Raw genomic sequence first — 14,744 nt, 5'->3', positions numbered from 1 at the left:
GTACCTGTGTGTGTGCCTGTGTATGTGCGTGCATGTGCCTGTGTGTGTGTGCTCACGCCTGTGTGTGCATGTGTGTGTGCATGTGCATGTTTGTGCCTGTGTGTATGTGTGCATGTGTGTGCCTATGTGTGCCTGTGTGTGTGCGTGTGTGTGTGTGTGTGTGTGTGTGTGTGTGTGTGTGTGTGTCCTGCTGCAGCCTCTTGACAGCTCCCAGGGTTTAGGCTCCAAAGGCAGAGGGAGGGAGTTCCAGGGCTGGCACTGGGACTCCCAGCTTGTCTCAGATGTGCATAGCAGGAAAGTTTCAGGGAGGAGATGGGAGAGCAGGGTCCTGAGCCTCTTCCCATGAGCTGTATATACTATACTAACTGTAGAGCCACCCAGGCCCCAGAGAAAGCAGGGCCTCCTGTAGAGAAAAGTGAGGAACAACTGGGGAGGGAACAGGGGACCATGAGGGAAGCACTGCTAAATTCAGAAGAAAAATATGATAGTAATAATGGTGGCCATTATTGAGGGCTGTGAGACCAATTCACTCCTCACAAACACCTCTGTGAATTAAGCACTGCACAGAGAAGAAGTTAGGTGACTTGCCTGAGGTCACATAGCTAATAAGCCGACAGTGCTGGGATAGACCAAGAGAACAGCCTGGCTTTGGACCTAAAATCCAACACTTCGGTTATGCCGGTGAGGAATCCAGTTCTTGCTGGGAAGGCACCCACATAAGGTCTCTGGCCTATAACCCTGGGTGCTGAGTTCCTTCTCCAGAACTGGGGGTGGGGGGGGTGCTGGGTCAAGGCAGCCACACTCCACTGCATCCTTGGGTGAGCCCCAGGTTGGCCAGGGTGGTGAAGGCGACGAGGCTCTCAGAGCTCATGAGGTTTGTCTGGACTGCTGGAGACAAGGAAGCCCCGGGGAGTGCCCAAGGTCTGTGGGGAGGGAGTGGGGTGGAGCTCTACAGCTGGTATTGTCATGCCATTCTCCTTGGAGTGCTCCCCTTGCTCTATACAGGCCAGGAGAGGTGTCACTGTAAGGAAGAAGGGGCCTAAGGGATGGAAATGCAGCATGAGGAAATAGTTTCAATGCCATAGAGAAAAATATCTAGAAGTGTTCACACCCATGGGGCTTAGTAATTATACCACTGTCAGTCAGTCCTAAGGCAAAGAACTATTTGCAAAATGTTATCCATCAAGTCACTATTTGTGAAGGATGAAAGTTAGAGGCAGCCTTAACTTTCAACACCAGCAGAGGGTTTAAATCTTTTAATAATTCCTGGTTGCCCATGGCTGCCCATGTAGCCATTCAAGAGATGGTGAAGAGCTCCTCTCAACACAGAACAATGTTTACTGTAAAAGGTAGGATACTAATGGCATACCATGATTTTTCTTGGTAAAAACATGTTTATGGGAAAAACTGGAAAAAGTAGAAAATTCAGTAAAATTTAAGTAGTGGTATGGAATGATAGGTGAATGAAACAAATATTCTATCTCCCCCAGTAGAGTCAAAACACAGTTATTTTTGAAAGAGTATAATATAAAAATTAGCAGGCAGTTTAAAAACAAGCATCAAGGCAGAGAGACAAAGTCTGGTTCTCTATTTGTTCGGCAACATCAAGATGGCAGGATCCTCTGGGTCACCAGCCCGGCACAGGACTGAGGACATTATAGGTGCTCACTGAACATGTGTTGCACTATACATGCAGGTTCCAGAAGCAGAGATGGAATCCCTGCTCCCCAAGAGTGGCTGGTTATCACACAGCAGTGCTGATGAGTAGGCACACGGGCTGTGATAAACACCCCTTGGGGGAGGGTATGACCTGAATCTAGTTGGTTGGTCTGCAGACGGGGCCAGGCTGGGGCTCCCTCCCCCAGGGAGGAGGCTGCTGAGGGACCAGACAGGGAAGGGGTGCACGGTGAGGCCTATTGGGGTTTCTCATGTTCCCCCAAAAGCACAGAATGTCTTCTACTGGGTGAGACCAGGAAGTGGAACAGACAGCCAGACCAGGCTTTGAGCGAGTCATTCATGGAAGACAATGGAAACCCCATCGTCGTGTGCCAGGCGCTGTGCACAGAGGGTAGACCCCAGGGAAAATGCAGAGCAGCTGGGGTCCCAGGAGGACACTCTGGTGCTGTGGTGCCCCTCCCTTGCCACACTGCATTTTCTCAGGTGGGGGCAGGAGGGCAAAGTCTGCCTCATGTCCTGAGCGGGAAGAGGGGGTGGGAGGTAGAATGGCACGCAGTATGTGCCGTGGAAAGCCATGCTGGAGGAATGGAATGTGCAGTCAGCAAGAGCAGAAAAGAGGTTCTCGGGGCTGGATCTAGTGAGGGCCCACCAGTGACCCCAGTCTGTGCTCAGGCCTTCATTTAGGGAGAACTCACCAGGCTGGGTGTGGCCTCGATTCCTGAGATGGCATCCCTGGGAAGAAAAAGGGAGGGCTTTCCAAGGGGGCAGGGATGGGCAAGGCACTAAAGTAGGCTTCTGACCCTGAAGGGTCATGCTGTGGGTGGGCGGTGGACTTGGTCAGCCCACATGTTGTGGCTCAGTCCCTTTGAGCAAGAGTTTCCCAGCAGCTTGGATTCTGTACCTGGGCTGCCTGGGCTTTAATCCTGGCTCTGTCACTTACTACACATGTGGCCTGACCAAGTTATTTTACCTCTCTATGCCTCAGTTTCTAATCTTAATCTTCTCAGTCCTACTAGTTCTTAGGGCCCCGCTTGACAATCTCCTCCTCCAGGAAGTCTTCCTGCTGCCCAAGGTGAATTAGGGCCCCTCTTCCATGCTCCCATAGCAGCTATGCGCAACAGCTTTCTTCCTACATCACAGCCACGTTTTCTCTTTTTGTTTTCCATTCTGAGACCGTAGAGTTTTTGAGGTCAGGAGATGTTCTTGTGGCTAATTGTTTTGTTTTTTAGGTTTTTTTTTTTTTTTTTTGTATTTTCTCAGTGCTAGGAAGTATTTGCTGAAATTCACGTAAAATGGAACTAATGAAAATAACCTTCCTCATTTGGTGGTTTTGAGGATTAAAAGAATCAACCTTGGCAGGGCGCGGTGACTCACGCCCGCAATCCCAGTGCTTTGAGAGGTCGAGGAGGGTGGAACCCTTGAGGTCAGGAGTTTGAGACAAGCCTGGCCAACATGGTGAAACCCCATCTCTACTAAAAATACAAAAAAATTAGCCGGGTGTGGTGGCAGGCGCCTGTAATCCCAGCTACTTGGGAGGCTGAGGCAGGAGAATCTTTTGAACCTAGGAGGTGGAGGTTCCAGGGAGCCGATATGGCACCACTACACTCCAGCCTGGGCAACAGAGCGAGACTCCATCTCAAAAACAAAACAAAACAAAACAAAAAAGAATCAACCTTGTATTAGAACCTGGCACAGACTGTTGGCACTGTTAAAATATAAAATAGTGGTCAGGGTGACTTGCAGAGGAACAGGCTGCCCCACCAGTGACAGTGACAAAGCAGTGGAGCACTTGCTGCAAACATGGCCTCTGACTCAGGAGAGGCAGTCACTGTTGAGAGTTAATCCATGATCACACTTGGGTATCTAAATTGCCAAGGAAGCTTCATCAGCTGCTGCAGGAGTGGGCAGTGTGGCCCACCAAGTTCATGGCCAGCCAGTGGTGAGAAGAGACAAGGCTGAGACCCAGAGACAACCCAGAGGCCTTCAGGGGGCAGAAGGAGCGGGGTTTGGGCAGAGAGAACAATGGCATGGAGGTCTAGGAGCAATGAGGCCTTTTCCAGTCACGAGGGCCCTTTTAGAATTTATTTCTGCTTAATAGCACTTAATAAACATTTTTGAGCAATGGGATATGTTAGGTCAAATGGGGGATATAAAGAGAGTTGACACAGAACCTTTGCCCTTGAAGAGCCCACAGCTGAGTTGAAGGAAGAGACCTAGAGCACAGTTTACTAACATCAAACCACCAACCCCCACAGCAAGAGCAGCTTCCCAGCATTGAGACCTCACTATGCTCCAGGCATTCCATGCATCATCTCATATGCACTTCATAACAGCTCATCACGAAGAGAAGTCACCGCAGATCCAATGGGTTAAGCAAGCTATCGAAGGTAGTCAGCAATTTTGTCTGACTACAAGTTCGTGTAATAATAATGTGAACCACTCCTTGAAGAGTAGAATCCAAGCATTGTGAGGCTGGCAGTGCAGGCAGGGGAATAGCATGAGCAAAAACCAGAGGTGGGAATGAATTTAACTGCCCCAGGAGGAGGCCCAAGACAGCTGGAGACAATTCAGGCAGACAGGAGAGCCCGTAGCTGCTCAGCTGCTCCCTGTCTTTTTCCTTCCCTCCGCAACCTTGAGAAAGTTGTCGATGGGTTCTATTTGCATTTTCTCCTATCCAGTTCCTCCTGCCCACATCACCCACTGCAGACACTCTTGCCAAGTTCCTCAATGCCAGCGTTGCCAGCCTGGTGGCCACTCCTCAGGCCTTCTCTTGCCTCCCCAGCAGCCTGGCCATGTGCCCGCCCTCCTCCATTTTGAAAGAGTACCCTCAGCTCTATCAACACCTCCTCCCCTGGTTTACTTTCCTCCACTCTGGCTCCGTCCCTTGTGCCACCTTGATATTGCTGTGGCCCATCCTGGACCTACTTCTCATCAACACAGTCTCCCTAGGAGACTCATCCCTTCTTGAGGCTTAACCACCACCTCCACGTGGGATTTCCAAGCCCATATCTCTAGCCCAGTGTCCACCCTGAGTGCTGGACCCATATACCCATCTGACTCCTGAAGATCTTTACTTGGGTATAGTCTGGGAAATTTGAATTTCAAATGTGACCAGGATACTCACTGGCTTCCTTCAATAGTGACTGCTCCTTCTGGGCCCCCTCTGTCAGGAGTGGGCATCACCAACGCTAGTTGCCCAAGCCAGATCCTGGGAGTCATCACTAACATCTCTCCTCTCACTGATATGTGGGTGCCACCTCGCTTTGACATTTCTTAAGCTTTTCTCTCCTTCCTACCACCATCCCACTGCTGCCATGCCAGCTTTTATCATAGCTCCTGGGATTCCTTCCACAGACTACCTAATTCCACTCTGGCTGCCAGAGAGGTCCATGTGAAATGCAAATTAGCCCAGGTCACCCTTGGTTAGAAGCCTTTAACGGCTCCCCATTGTGCTGGGGAGAAAACCTAAACTCCCAGCCTCTTTGCTTCACACACACATACCCACTGCGCTTGGTCTTGAGCTCCAGCCAGACTGAAACCATGGAGTAGGTTTACCCTCTTTACCCTAATCCTCTCAATCCTACTAGTTCTTAGGGCTCAGCTTGACAGTCGCCTCCTCCTAGAAGTCTTCCTGCTGTCCAAGGTGCATTAGGGCTCCACTTCTATGCTCCCATAGCAGCTGTGCACAATAGCTTTCTTCCTACATCACAGCCACACTTTCTCTTCTTGTTTCCCACCCTGAGACCATAGAGTCTTTGAGGTCAGGAGATGTTCTTGTGGTTTAGCTTTTTTTAAAATTTATTTATTTATTTATTTATTTATTTATTTATTTATTTATTTATTTGAGACAGAGTCTTGCTCTGTAGCCCAGGCTGGAGTGCACTGGCACGACCTTGGCTCACTGCAGCCTCTGCCTCCCAGGTTCAAGCAATTCTCCTGCTTCAGCCTCCCAAGCAGCTGGGACTACAGACACCTGCCACCATGCCTGGCTAATTTTGTATTTTTAGTAGAGAAGGGGTTTCACCATGTTGGCCGGGATGGTCTCAATCTCCTGACCTCAAGTGATCCGCCCGCCTCAGCCTCCTCAAGTGCTGGGATTAGAGGCATGAGCCACCGTGCCCAGCCTATTTTTTGTATTTTTTCAGTGCTAGGAAATATTTACTGAAATTTAAGGATGGAAAGTCTGGGAGACCGACTCTAGGAGTGCTCTTGAAAGGAAATGGGTTACTCCATGTGTAGGTGTTGAAAATGTAAAACACAATATTATTTCTCCCTTTTTCCCTAATAAAACCCCAATTTTGTTCAGAGGACAGCAATAGTGTTAATTACACTTCTTAGCATCCTTTGCAGGGGGTAGCTATGTGACCCAGGTTTGGCCAAGAAGACTTAAGTAAAAGCAACTGTGCACGCAAGGGAGAGATTTGCTCCCTTGATGTAAGCATGGCCCCTTCCTGTTTCCTGTCTTCCACATCTTTCCTGGAATTAGGAGAGGAGGCTGGAGATGGAGCAGCCATCTTGTGACAATGAGCCAGCCACAGGGATGGGAACCACAGGCTAAGGAATCTTGAAGGGCCTAGGTCATGACCCCTGGACTACCTACTAGCAGACTTCTAATTATTGAGAGACAAATAAATCTCATTTAAGTCATTTTGGTTGGCTCTCCATTACATTTAGCTGAACTCCACCCAGTAAAGGTCAATGAAGGAAGATAAGCATCTGTGAGCATTTCTGAATAGGCTTTTCCTTTGGAGATGATGCTGGCGCTGACGGGAGGCAGAGGGCCAGGTTAATGGAACAGGACTAGGTGAGGGCTGGAGAGGCTGATCCTCCCAGGGGTTCTACCAGAGGATCACAGTGAGGCCTCAGGGTTTGAGAAAGAAGCTCCAGGCATGGTAGCCCTAAGGTGTCTGTGACCTTGGCCTGGGGGTTTTCTGGTCCCTGTTTGGTTCAACTTGCAAAATGGGGCTGTTGGACTAGACAACTTATCAGAAGGCATAGTGCTTCAAGTCTGGGCTTAGGAGTCAGACAAGGCTGAATTCAGGGTCCAGCTCCACCACTTGCTAGCTGTGTGGCTTTCAGACAGCTTTCTTAGCCGACTGCTCTAGCATCCTTGTTTGTGGAGTCCAGACTCCATCAGTACCTATACCTGTAGGGCTAACGTTGGGGCTTCATGAAATCATGCATGTGGGTGCTCAGCAGAGGGCCTGGTATGCCCAGCACACACCAAGTGCTCCATGCTGGTACCTGTCCTTGTGTGCCATGTTCTCCCAGTGGACAGATGGGACCTGGAATTCATGCCTCCTCTGGGGCTGGGGCTGGGGCTGCTACAGTGCTGTGGAAAGCCTGTCAGGATGTACCTCGCTCTGTGGCTGAGTGAAGAGGCCAGAGGCTGCCCACTGTTCAACATCTTTGGAATGCTGCCGTGTCCAGGGAACTTGGGTCGCAGGTGGATAGAAGCCCCCAAGCCCAGGCCAGGCCAGACCAGGCCCAGAAAGGTATCAGGTCTTGGGTAGAATAAGAAGCCTATGTGGTCTATCTATCCTGTGGCCTTTGTCTTAGCCAAAGCCTCCTGGATATTGACGGCATCTTTTCCTGGGTTTGGGGTGGGCTTGGAGAGGTTCCCTCTGCACGGGACTACAGAAGTGAGGGAGCTGGAAAAATGCCTCCAGAGCTGGATTCCTCACTGCAGCTGCTTTTGGAAGAACCTTCTTATCCTTCCCTTGAGAAGCCTCACTGTCTCTTCTCGGCGCTTGGAATCCTGTTAGTAGAAAATCTTGGGGAAAAAATAAACCCACTATTCATTCCAGCACTGAGAAGGAGGTCAGTGGGGTGCGTCCTGTTTGTCCACACCCCCCCCACCCCCTCTACCCCTCCCCCCAGCACCCCAGGCCAGACCCAGCCATGCTGACACTTGACAGCCCCTGCAGTTTACCTTGGCTCAGGTCCAGAGACTTCGGGCCCAGCCCCCACCTTTTCACCTTGTTACCCAGCCCCCTCTCCAGCGCAAAGAGCAGTTTAAATATAAATCAGTCCTCAACACAAACAGAGCTGCAGCGAGTCTCAGAGCCATCACCGGAACTGAGGGCCCAGGTTTTCTGCGAGTGCAAACAAGCAGAGACTGGCTCCGTAAATCTCCCCAAGAACGTCGGGAGGGGTGCTGGGGCTCCCCTCCACCCCCGGCTCACGTTGGCCCCTCCAGCGCCCGCCTCGGGCACCCTCATATCCCAGCCTTCCTGCCCCCCAGCCCTGCCAACCTCTTTCTCCATCCCCTCCACTCACCCACCTTCGCTTCGCCCACCCTCTCTTCGCCAGTCCCCAGGAACCTCCACCCCCTTGCAACCTCCTGCCCCCGCACAGCCCTCACCTCCCCTCCCCGGGCCCGCCACCTCCTTCCCTCCCTCTCCGCCTCCCGGCAGGCGGGATCTTCTCGGGGCAGTCAAGCCTCGCGGGTCGCTGCGGCGTCACACCTGTCTGAGGGGGCGGCGGCGGCGGCGGCGGCGGGGCGGGGGCTCGTAGCGCCTTTGACACCCGAGGAAAAGAGGGAGGAGGGAGAGCGCGTTTCATCATCGGCGGCGGCCACTTATAAAAACTTCTAGGCGCGCACTCGCTGGCTCAGTCTCCGCTCCGCGAATCTCCTCCGGCCACTGCCGCCGCGGTCGCCTCTCACCCGCCCGGCCGCTCCAGCCCGAGGCGCCCCGACCCCGCGCCACTCCGCGCCCGGCCAGCCGCCCGCAGCCATGGGGCTCCTGCCCAAGCTCGGCGCGTCCCAGGGCAGCGACACCTCTACTAGCCGAGCCGGCCGCTGTGCCCGCTCGGTCTTCGGCAACATTAAGGTGAGCGGAGTCCGCGGGGTCTTCCGGGCCGGAGCCGCGCCTGGCGCACCTTCGGCTGGGCACCCGCTTCTGTCTGCCGGAGCCAGGAGGCTCCGGGAGCCCCGGGCTCCCTCCTGTGCCGCGCTCCGATCTCATCCCCGGGCGACGCGTGCTGGGCGTGTGTGTGCGAGTGTGTGTGTGAGCGTGTGTGTGTGTGAGCGTGTGTGTGTGCGTGCGAGTGTGTGTGTGTGTGTTCACACGCCTTCATCGGACTAAGTAATGGGACAGTGGAAGTACCTGCTTACCGCTTACTCGGACAACTCCAGGCAGAGTTATAAGCGAGAGAATTGTCCTCGATGATTGAAAAAGATCATCTCGAGGAACGCTTTTTCGGCCTCCAGCGGGCGGTTACTTCGTCAATGGGATGGGCTTGGAGGTGCCAGGGGGACCCCCCGCGCTTTGGGGGACAGACTGTGTCTCGTCCGAGCCCCCTCGTCCTGGGGTGGGTGGCCTAAGGGATGTTCTCCTTCCCCAGGCTTTCTTCTCCCGCCAACGGGGGCGGGGGGCTCTGCTACCTGGCTGTGCCGCTCGCAGTTATGTTTAGAATTCCCTCTCAGCGGGCGGCTTCCCCAGGCTGGCAACCAACCCGCGTGCTCAGATTGGCTTCCCTGGTCTGGAAATGGCCCCAGGAAGGTCACAGCTCTCACGGTTCAGTAAGGTCTAAGCAGGTCCACTCACCAGGCAAGTTATGGGGAGCGGGTGAGAAGATAGGGTGTTGGCAGCTGTTAGGATGAGAGCACCTTTCCCATGGGGTCGGAAATGCTTTCCACTCCCTCACAGGTCCAGGAGGACCTGGAATGGTTCAATCCGCACTCGGGCTCTTTTGCCCGTTCTGCCTAGGCAGAAGTAACAATGGAAGATACCTCCTGAGAGGCCAAAGCTGCTGCGGTGAGGATGTGGGAGACTGCAGAGACTGCATCAAGGCCCCTTCTGGTCAGGGTGGGATCATGGTGTAGAGAGGTTGTTTCCCACAAACATACAGTCAGATGGGACTGAGTAAAGCCTCCGGTGGTGCAATTAAGGGGAAGCCAGATTACACAAAGGGATGATGGGGGTGTCCGTGGACTGGTTATATGTGTCCAACAGAAAGGGATCTGGAGGTCAGAGTGGATCTCACCTGCATACTTACTCAGCTGGGATCTCCACTCCTGCTTCTGCTCTTTCCGCACCGCAATAAATACAGGCTGAATTGATTTTGTAGTTGTATATGGATAAGCAACAGAAATTTTGAGATAGCTTAAAATAATCTCCAAATCTCCTCATTTTTGGCCAGACCTGGATGGAAATGTTGTGCGCAGTTTTGGTTCCACCATTTTGGAGAAATTTCATCAGGAATTTTGGAACCTTTGGTATTTATAAATTAGGAATTGAGATGAAAGGGTAGGGACTAGGATTAGATGGTGTAAAGAAAGGGGCCTCTGCAGGAACCAGGGTGGGGCAACCTCACTTCATTTTCACCAAGAAGGGCAGGAGGGACGGGTGTCCAGAACAGATTCCTGACAGTGAGGGTACAGCTGAATGAGACTGATCCGTTTAGACCCACCCTGGTTCCCTAAAATAAATGTTTATGGCAGCAATTTATTTGGAGATCTATATAAATAAGATGATTTCTCATGTGTTGATGATTTAACCACACGTACCTGAGGGCTGGGCTCAGGCCAATTGGCCTCCTAAAGGAGTTAAGTACTCATACTGGCTAAGAGTTTTTCTTGACTCTAAAAATGAGATTCTGTTAGTCATCACCTCCTTTGATCCATACTAATTGCAAGACCAGAGTTTGGAGGACTTCCATTTAACTCCACTTATCAGCCTGAAACCAGGTACGAGGTTGGATAGCTTAAGGTAAATCTTGAATCTCAAATTCCATCAGTTAAAGTCACTTGCACCTTTCCCTCCTGGGGCAATAACTGGGAGCTCTGCTATTTGAAGGGATATTTCCTCCCAATGAGAGTGCTTGTAATAGCCCTGCCACTTTGCAGTGGGGGATGGGTTGCACATATCTTGGGACATGTATGACATGGTGGTGTAGCAGGACGAGCCACAGACAAAACTCCTCAGACACTGAGTTAAAGAAGGAAGGGGTTTATTCAGCCGGGGGCATCAGCAAGACTGCTGTCTCAAGAGCTGAGCTCCCCGAGTGAGCAATTCCTGTCCTTTTTAAGGGCTCACAACTCTAAGGGGGTGCACCTGAGAGGGTCGTGATCGATTGAGCAAACAGTGGGTACGTGACTGGGGGCTGCATGCACCAGTAATTAGATCGGAACAAAACAGAATAGGGATTTTCACAGTGCTTTTCTGTACAATGTCTGTAATCTATAGATAACATAACCGATTAGGTCAGGGGTCGATCTTTAACTACCAGCGCTAGGGTGCGGCTCCGGGCTGTCTGCTTGTGGATTTCATTTCTGCCTTTTAGTTTTTACTTTTTCTTTCTTTGGAGGCAGAAATTGGGCATAAGACAATATGAGGGGTGGTCTCCTCCCTTATTCCCCTCCTTTGAGATTCTCACTCAATAGTGGGAGTTCTCACTTTCATTTTTACTACCTGTGTCTTCTTGCAAGACAGATCGATAGTGATTCATATAGTACACTTGTGCTGAACCTTTTTGGTGAACTAAGGTAGCGATGAAGCTTTTTATCATTTGAAGAAGTATAGGTAGCAAACAAGGGAGCAGTAAGCAGGTTCCTATTACTATTATAACTCTTATTATTAGAGTTTTAAATTCTCTTAGCGCTGGGAACCATTTTCTAAACATGGCCCCAGGATCAAATCCATGCCACACTTGCACAGGCACATGTGCCAGTTTTGTCATATCTCTTAACTGTGTCTTCAACTACTTGCCCTTGATTATCTATATGTAGGCAGCAATTAGAAAGGTTAAATTTCCTACAGACCTCTCCTTCAGCTGCTAGCAAGTAGTCAAGAGCTAATCTATTTTGATAGGTAGCATTTCTCATCTGAGTTTCTTGCTGGGCCAGAATAGTCAAGGCTCTGCCGGTTTTATTAGTGATTATTTTTAAGACAGCTTGTAACCGTATGATTCAGTTGATCACGTAAATGGGGGTCTGGTATCCTCACAAGCCGTCTTGTGCCTAGCAGGCCTATAATATTGTATGATTTTCTCAGGGGGCCATTTATCATTTTTTCAATTTCCTATAGCTATGCTTCTCTTTTCGCGGGAAGCATAGACAGGGAAGCCCAGGAGTTCGCCTGTTTTTATGGGCAGTAGGAAAAAGATGGTTTAATAGTGCCAATAACAAAACTACCTGCCTACTGGTCAGGTAATTTGGCGTAAGCTCTATGCCTACGTATCTAGTATAATCCAGTGGGGGCTGTCTAGTCCCGGTGGGACTCCGGGTGGGTCCACACGGTTTGCAACTTTGGGAATTTACTAAATGGATTTCTCTCTGTGTGATTAGAACTCCACCAAATGACTGTTTTTGTGATACCATTATAAGTTTCTGTCCTAGACAAAGAAGTCGTCCTATGGGGTGAGTAAATTCTTTTCCTTCTCTAGCTATGCAATATTGTCCAATAATTGAGGCTTTTAGGACCTAGAAATTATCAGGGTGATTCTTCTGAGCTGGGAATTCATCAGGAACTGGGTCTGTAGGTACTAATTCTCGGGCTTCCCATGGTCATTGATCTCTTATTACAGTTCCTCCACATACATAACATGAAGTGACATTGAGAGAACATGCTCAGCTAATTGCAAAAACAAATTTCTTGTTTTTCCTGGAATTTCTGGTACTGGCACATTTAGTTCATCATAGAAAGTTTGAAACACTGGCTTAGGAGAGCGTTTGTAAACTTCTCTTCAAACCAAGATATTTACTCGAGGATCCAGTCCAGCCCCATTGATTCCTAAGGTCACACGCTCCTCTTTTTTCCAGCGAGGATCAAGGGGATTGGTTATTACTAGCTCTAAGGGGTTACATTGTCCCTTAGTACAGGAAGGGCCATTTTTTCCTTTCTGAAGGTGGACTGGATCTTTTTCATTTTTTTTTTATCGAAGTGGCCTAAATGACACAAGACCAGTATTTACATTTCTTTCCACACAGTCTTAATTTATGACAGATGTACTTATTTTCTGCTATATAGCCTCTTTTCTAATTAAGAGAACCACAGCTTATTCCTAACTTATTACTATTAATGACAGCACAGGCATCAAATTTTAAGATGACTCGTTTGGGCACCCCTTTTTCTTCTGTTTTGGCTAGCACTTTACTCATATCATTTGTGAGCCCTCACCAGTCCTCAGTCCTCAATCTAATTTTAAAAACTGTGGTCATGGGAGGCTCAGATGGGTCATAACACACATCAGGTTGGTCATTTCCTGGGCTACATACCTTGTATAGAATTATATTATACAACAAGTTCTTTTTAGAGTTCCAGTACGCTTATAATAACCATAAAATAATAGGACCGTAGCAACCTTTTGTCCTACCTCAGTGACTTGATGTATACACTGGGAATAGTCCTCAGTCTGAGGAAGGTCAGTTGAAGTCCTTATTGTAAAAATGCAAATTTTAAGGAAAATGAGTCCCGCAATGAGTTTTCTCATGCTTCGGCCGTGCATGGACCAGTCAGCTTCCGGGTGTGACTAGAGCAGGGCTTGTCGTCTTCTTCAGAGTCACTTTGCAGGGGTTGGCAAAGCTGCTCCCGTCCACATACTGCTCACAGTCTACTGATGTTTAAGGATGGTCTCGGAGGTTGGGCCTGTTAGAATAAACTGAGTCCAACACCTCTACACAGTTATGTTCAACTGGGCTCTCTGATACTGGGAGCAAGGTGGTGGGGTTTAGGGTGTTGCAAACTTCAATGGTTATGTGGGGATTTTCACATAGCAAGCTTTGGTACTTGGTTAATCTAGCATTTGTTAACTAATGATGTCCTTTGGTAGTCATTAAAGTTACCACAGCATGGGGAGCGTTTATATTCAGGTTTTGCCTAAGGGTTAGTTTATCTGCTTCTTGTGCTAACAGGACAAGAAGGCCCTTGTTGCTGCTAGGGCCCTTAAACCTGGGGGCCAGGCTTTGGAAACCCCGTCTAGTTGTTTTGAGAGACAGGCCACTGGCCTTGGCCAGAGCCCCACAGTCTGGGTTAAAACTCCAACTGCCATTTTTTCTCTTTCTGACACATAGAGTGTAAAGAGTTTTGCCAGGTCATGTAGCCTCAGGTCTGGGGCCAACATGAGTTTTTCTTTTAACTCATGAAAAGCTCGTTGCTGTTGGTTGTAATAGATGTAGTTTATCTAATCTACATTTTTGTTAACTGTCACCCACAAAAATATTGACTCAAATCCTGCAGCTATTTGATTTCAAGCTTTAAATTGATATGGTATTCGTCATGGGACTCCAATTGTGTCTAAACAGACATGAGAGTCGAAAGACCTATAAGGGGCTTCTCTCGCTTTACGATGTCTTATTTTTCTCCTTCTGGTTGATGAAATGCCAGGGTGAAAGGGATAGCCAATTGGACTAAAGTACAAGTGCCACTCCATTTATTCAGCAGAGTGCCCAGTAAAGGTCCACCACAATACCACCACACATCTGCTCGGGGATGAACAAGGGCTGACTGATTGATAAGCTCTTGAAAATTCTTAAGCTAACTGCATCCTTTCAGGTCTCCAAGGAACACTAAGTTTCCTCCCTGTCATGAGAGACATGAAGTGACTTAGTGTTGGGAAACGGAGGCTGGATGGCCTTTGGGGGCTGACCCGCAGGGTGCCAGACTTTGGGATATAGCAGAGAGAGCTTGGCATGACTTATTACTCCAGGCTGTAGAATCCTGGAAAAGAGCCATGCAGCCTACACCTGGTCAACTGGAGGACCACCTTAGTGGAAAGGGGACAGTCTGGGCCTCTGACCTGCCATGTGCACAAGCATAACAATTGCTTTTGTTTAACGTGCAGATGGAATATTTGATCCATTTTAACCAAGCATTTGCATCTTGGTATCCTGTCTCAAATTGCTAAAGTTTGTTTTAAGTCTTTAACTTCCATGATCCTCTAGTAAAATGAATGTATGATTTTAGGAAATTACAAAAACTGGTTGGGGCAGTCCATCCTTGCTCTTTAGTGGTCCACAGAACATTGGACCAACTATGGCATGAAAGCTCTACATCGGGGGGCAAGACTTCTGGTTGGCACTGGGGTCTTTATTGAAATCTCCCCAGATTAAATGGTCCTACTTT

At 49.4% G+C, this 14,744-nt stretch overlaps 1 protein-coding gene across 1 annotated transcript in view, besides 1 other annotated feature; it reads left to right on the top strand.

Moving 5' to 3' along the window:
• Nucleotides 7,797-8,297: an enhancer, noted in NCBI's record as "H3K4me1 hESC enhancer chr3:133748764-133749264 (GRCh37/hg19 assembly coordinates)". NCBI's record gives its function as "activates a minimal SCP1, AML or CMV promoter by ChIP-STARR-seq in primed H9 embryonic stem cells {active_cell/tissue: H9 hESC(primed)}" and the evidence as "EXISTENCE:reporter gene assay evidence [ECO:0000049][PMID:30033119]".
• SLCO2A1 (solute carrier organic anion transporter family member 2A1) overlaps nt 8,292-14,744 on the top strand; it is a 97,225-nt gene continuing 90,772 nt past the window's right edge. The window contains exon 1 of the mRNA NM_005630.3: nt 8,292-8,510. Within this exon, the coding sequence (NP_005621.2) occupies nt 8,415-8,510 (96 nt within the window). The 5' untranslated portion in view covers nt 8,292-8,414. The remainder of the gene's footprint in view (nt 8,511-14,744) is intronic.

Source organism: Homo sapiens, chromosome 3 (assembly GCF_000001405.40).
Source record: "Homo sapiens chromosome 3, GRCh38.p14 Primary Assembly".
NCBI lineage: Eukaryota > Metazoa > Chordata > Mammalia > Primates > Hominidae > Homo > Homo sapiens.
The sequence above is the reverse complement of the archived record's forward strand: the minus strand, read 5'-3'. Positions and strand labels throughout refer to the sequence as shown.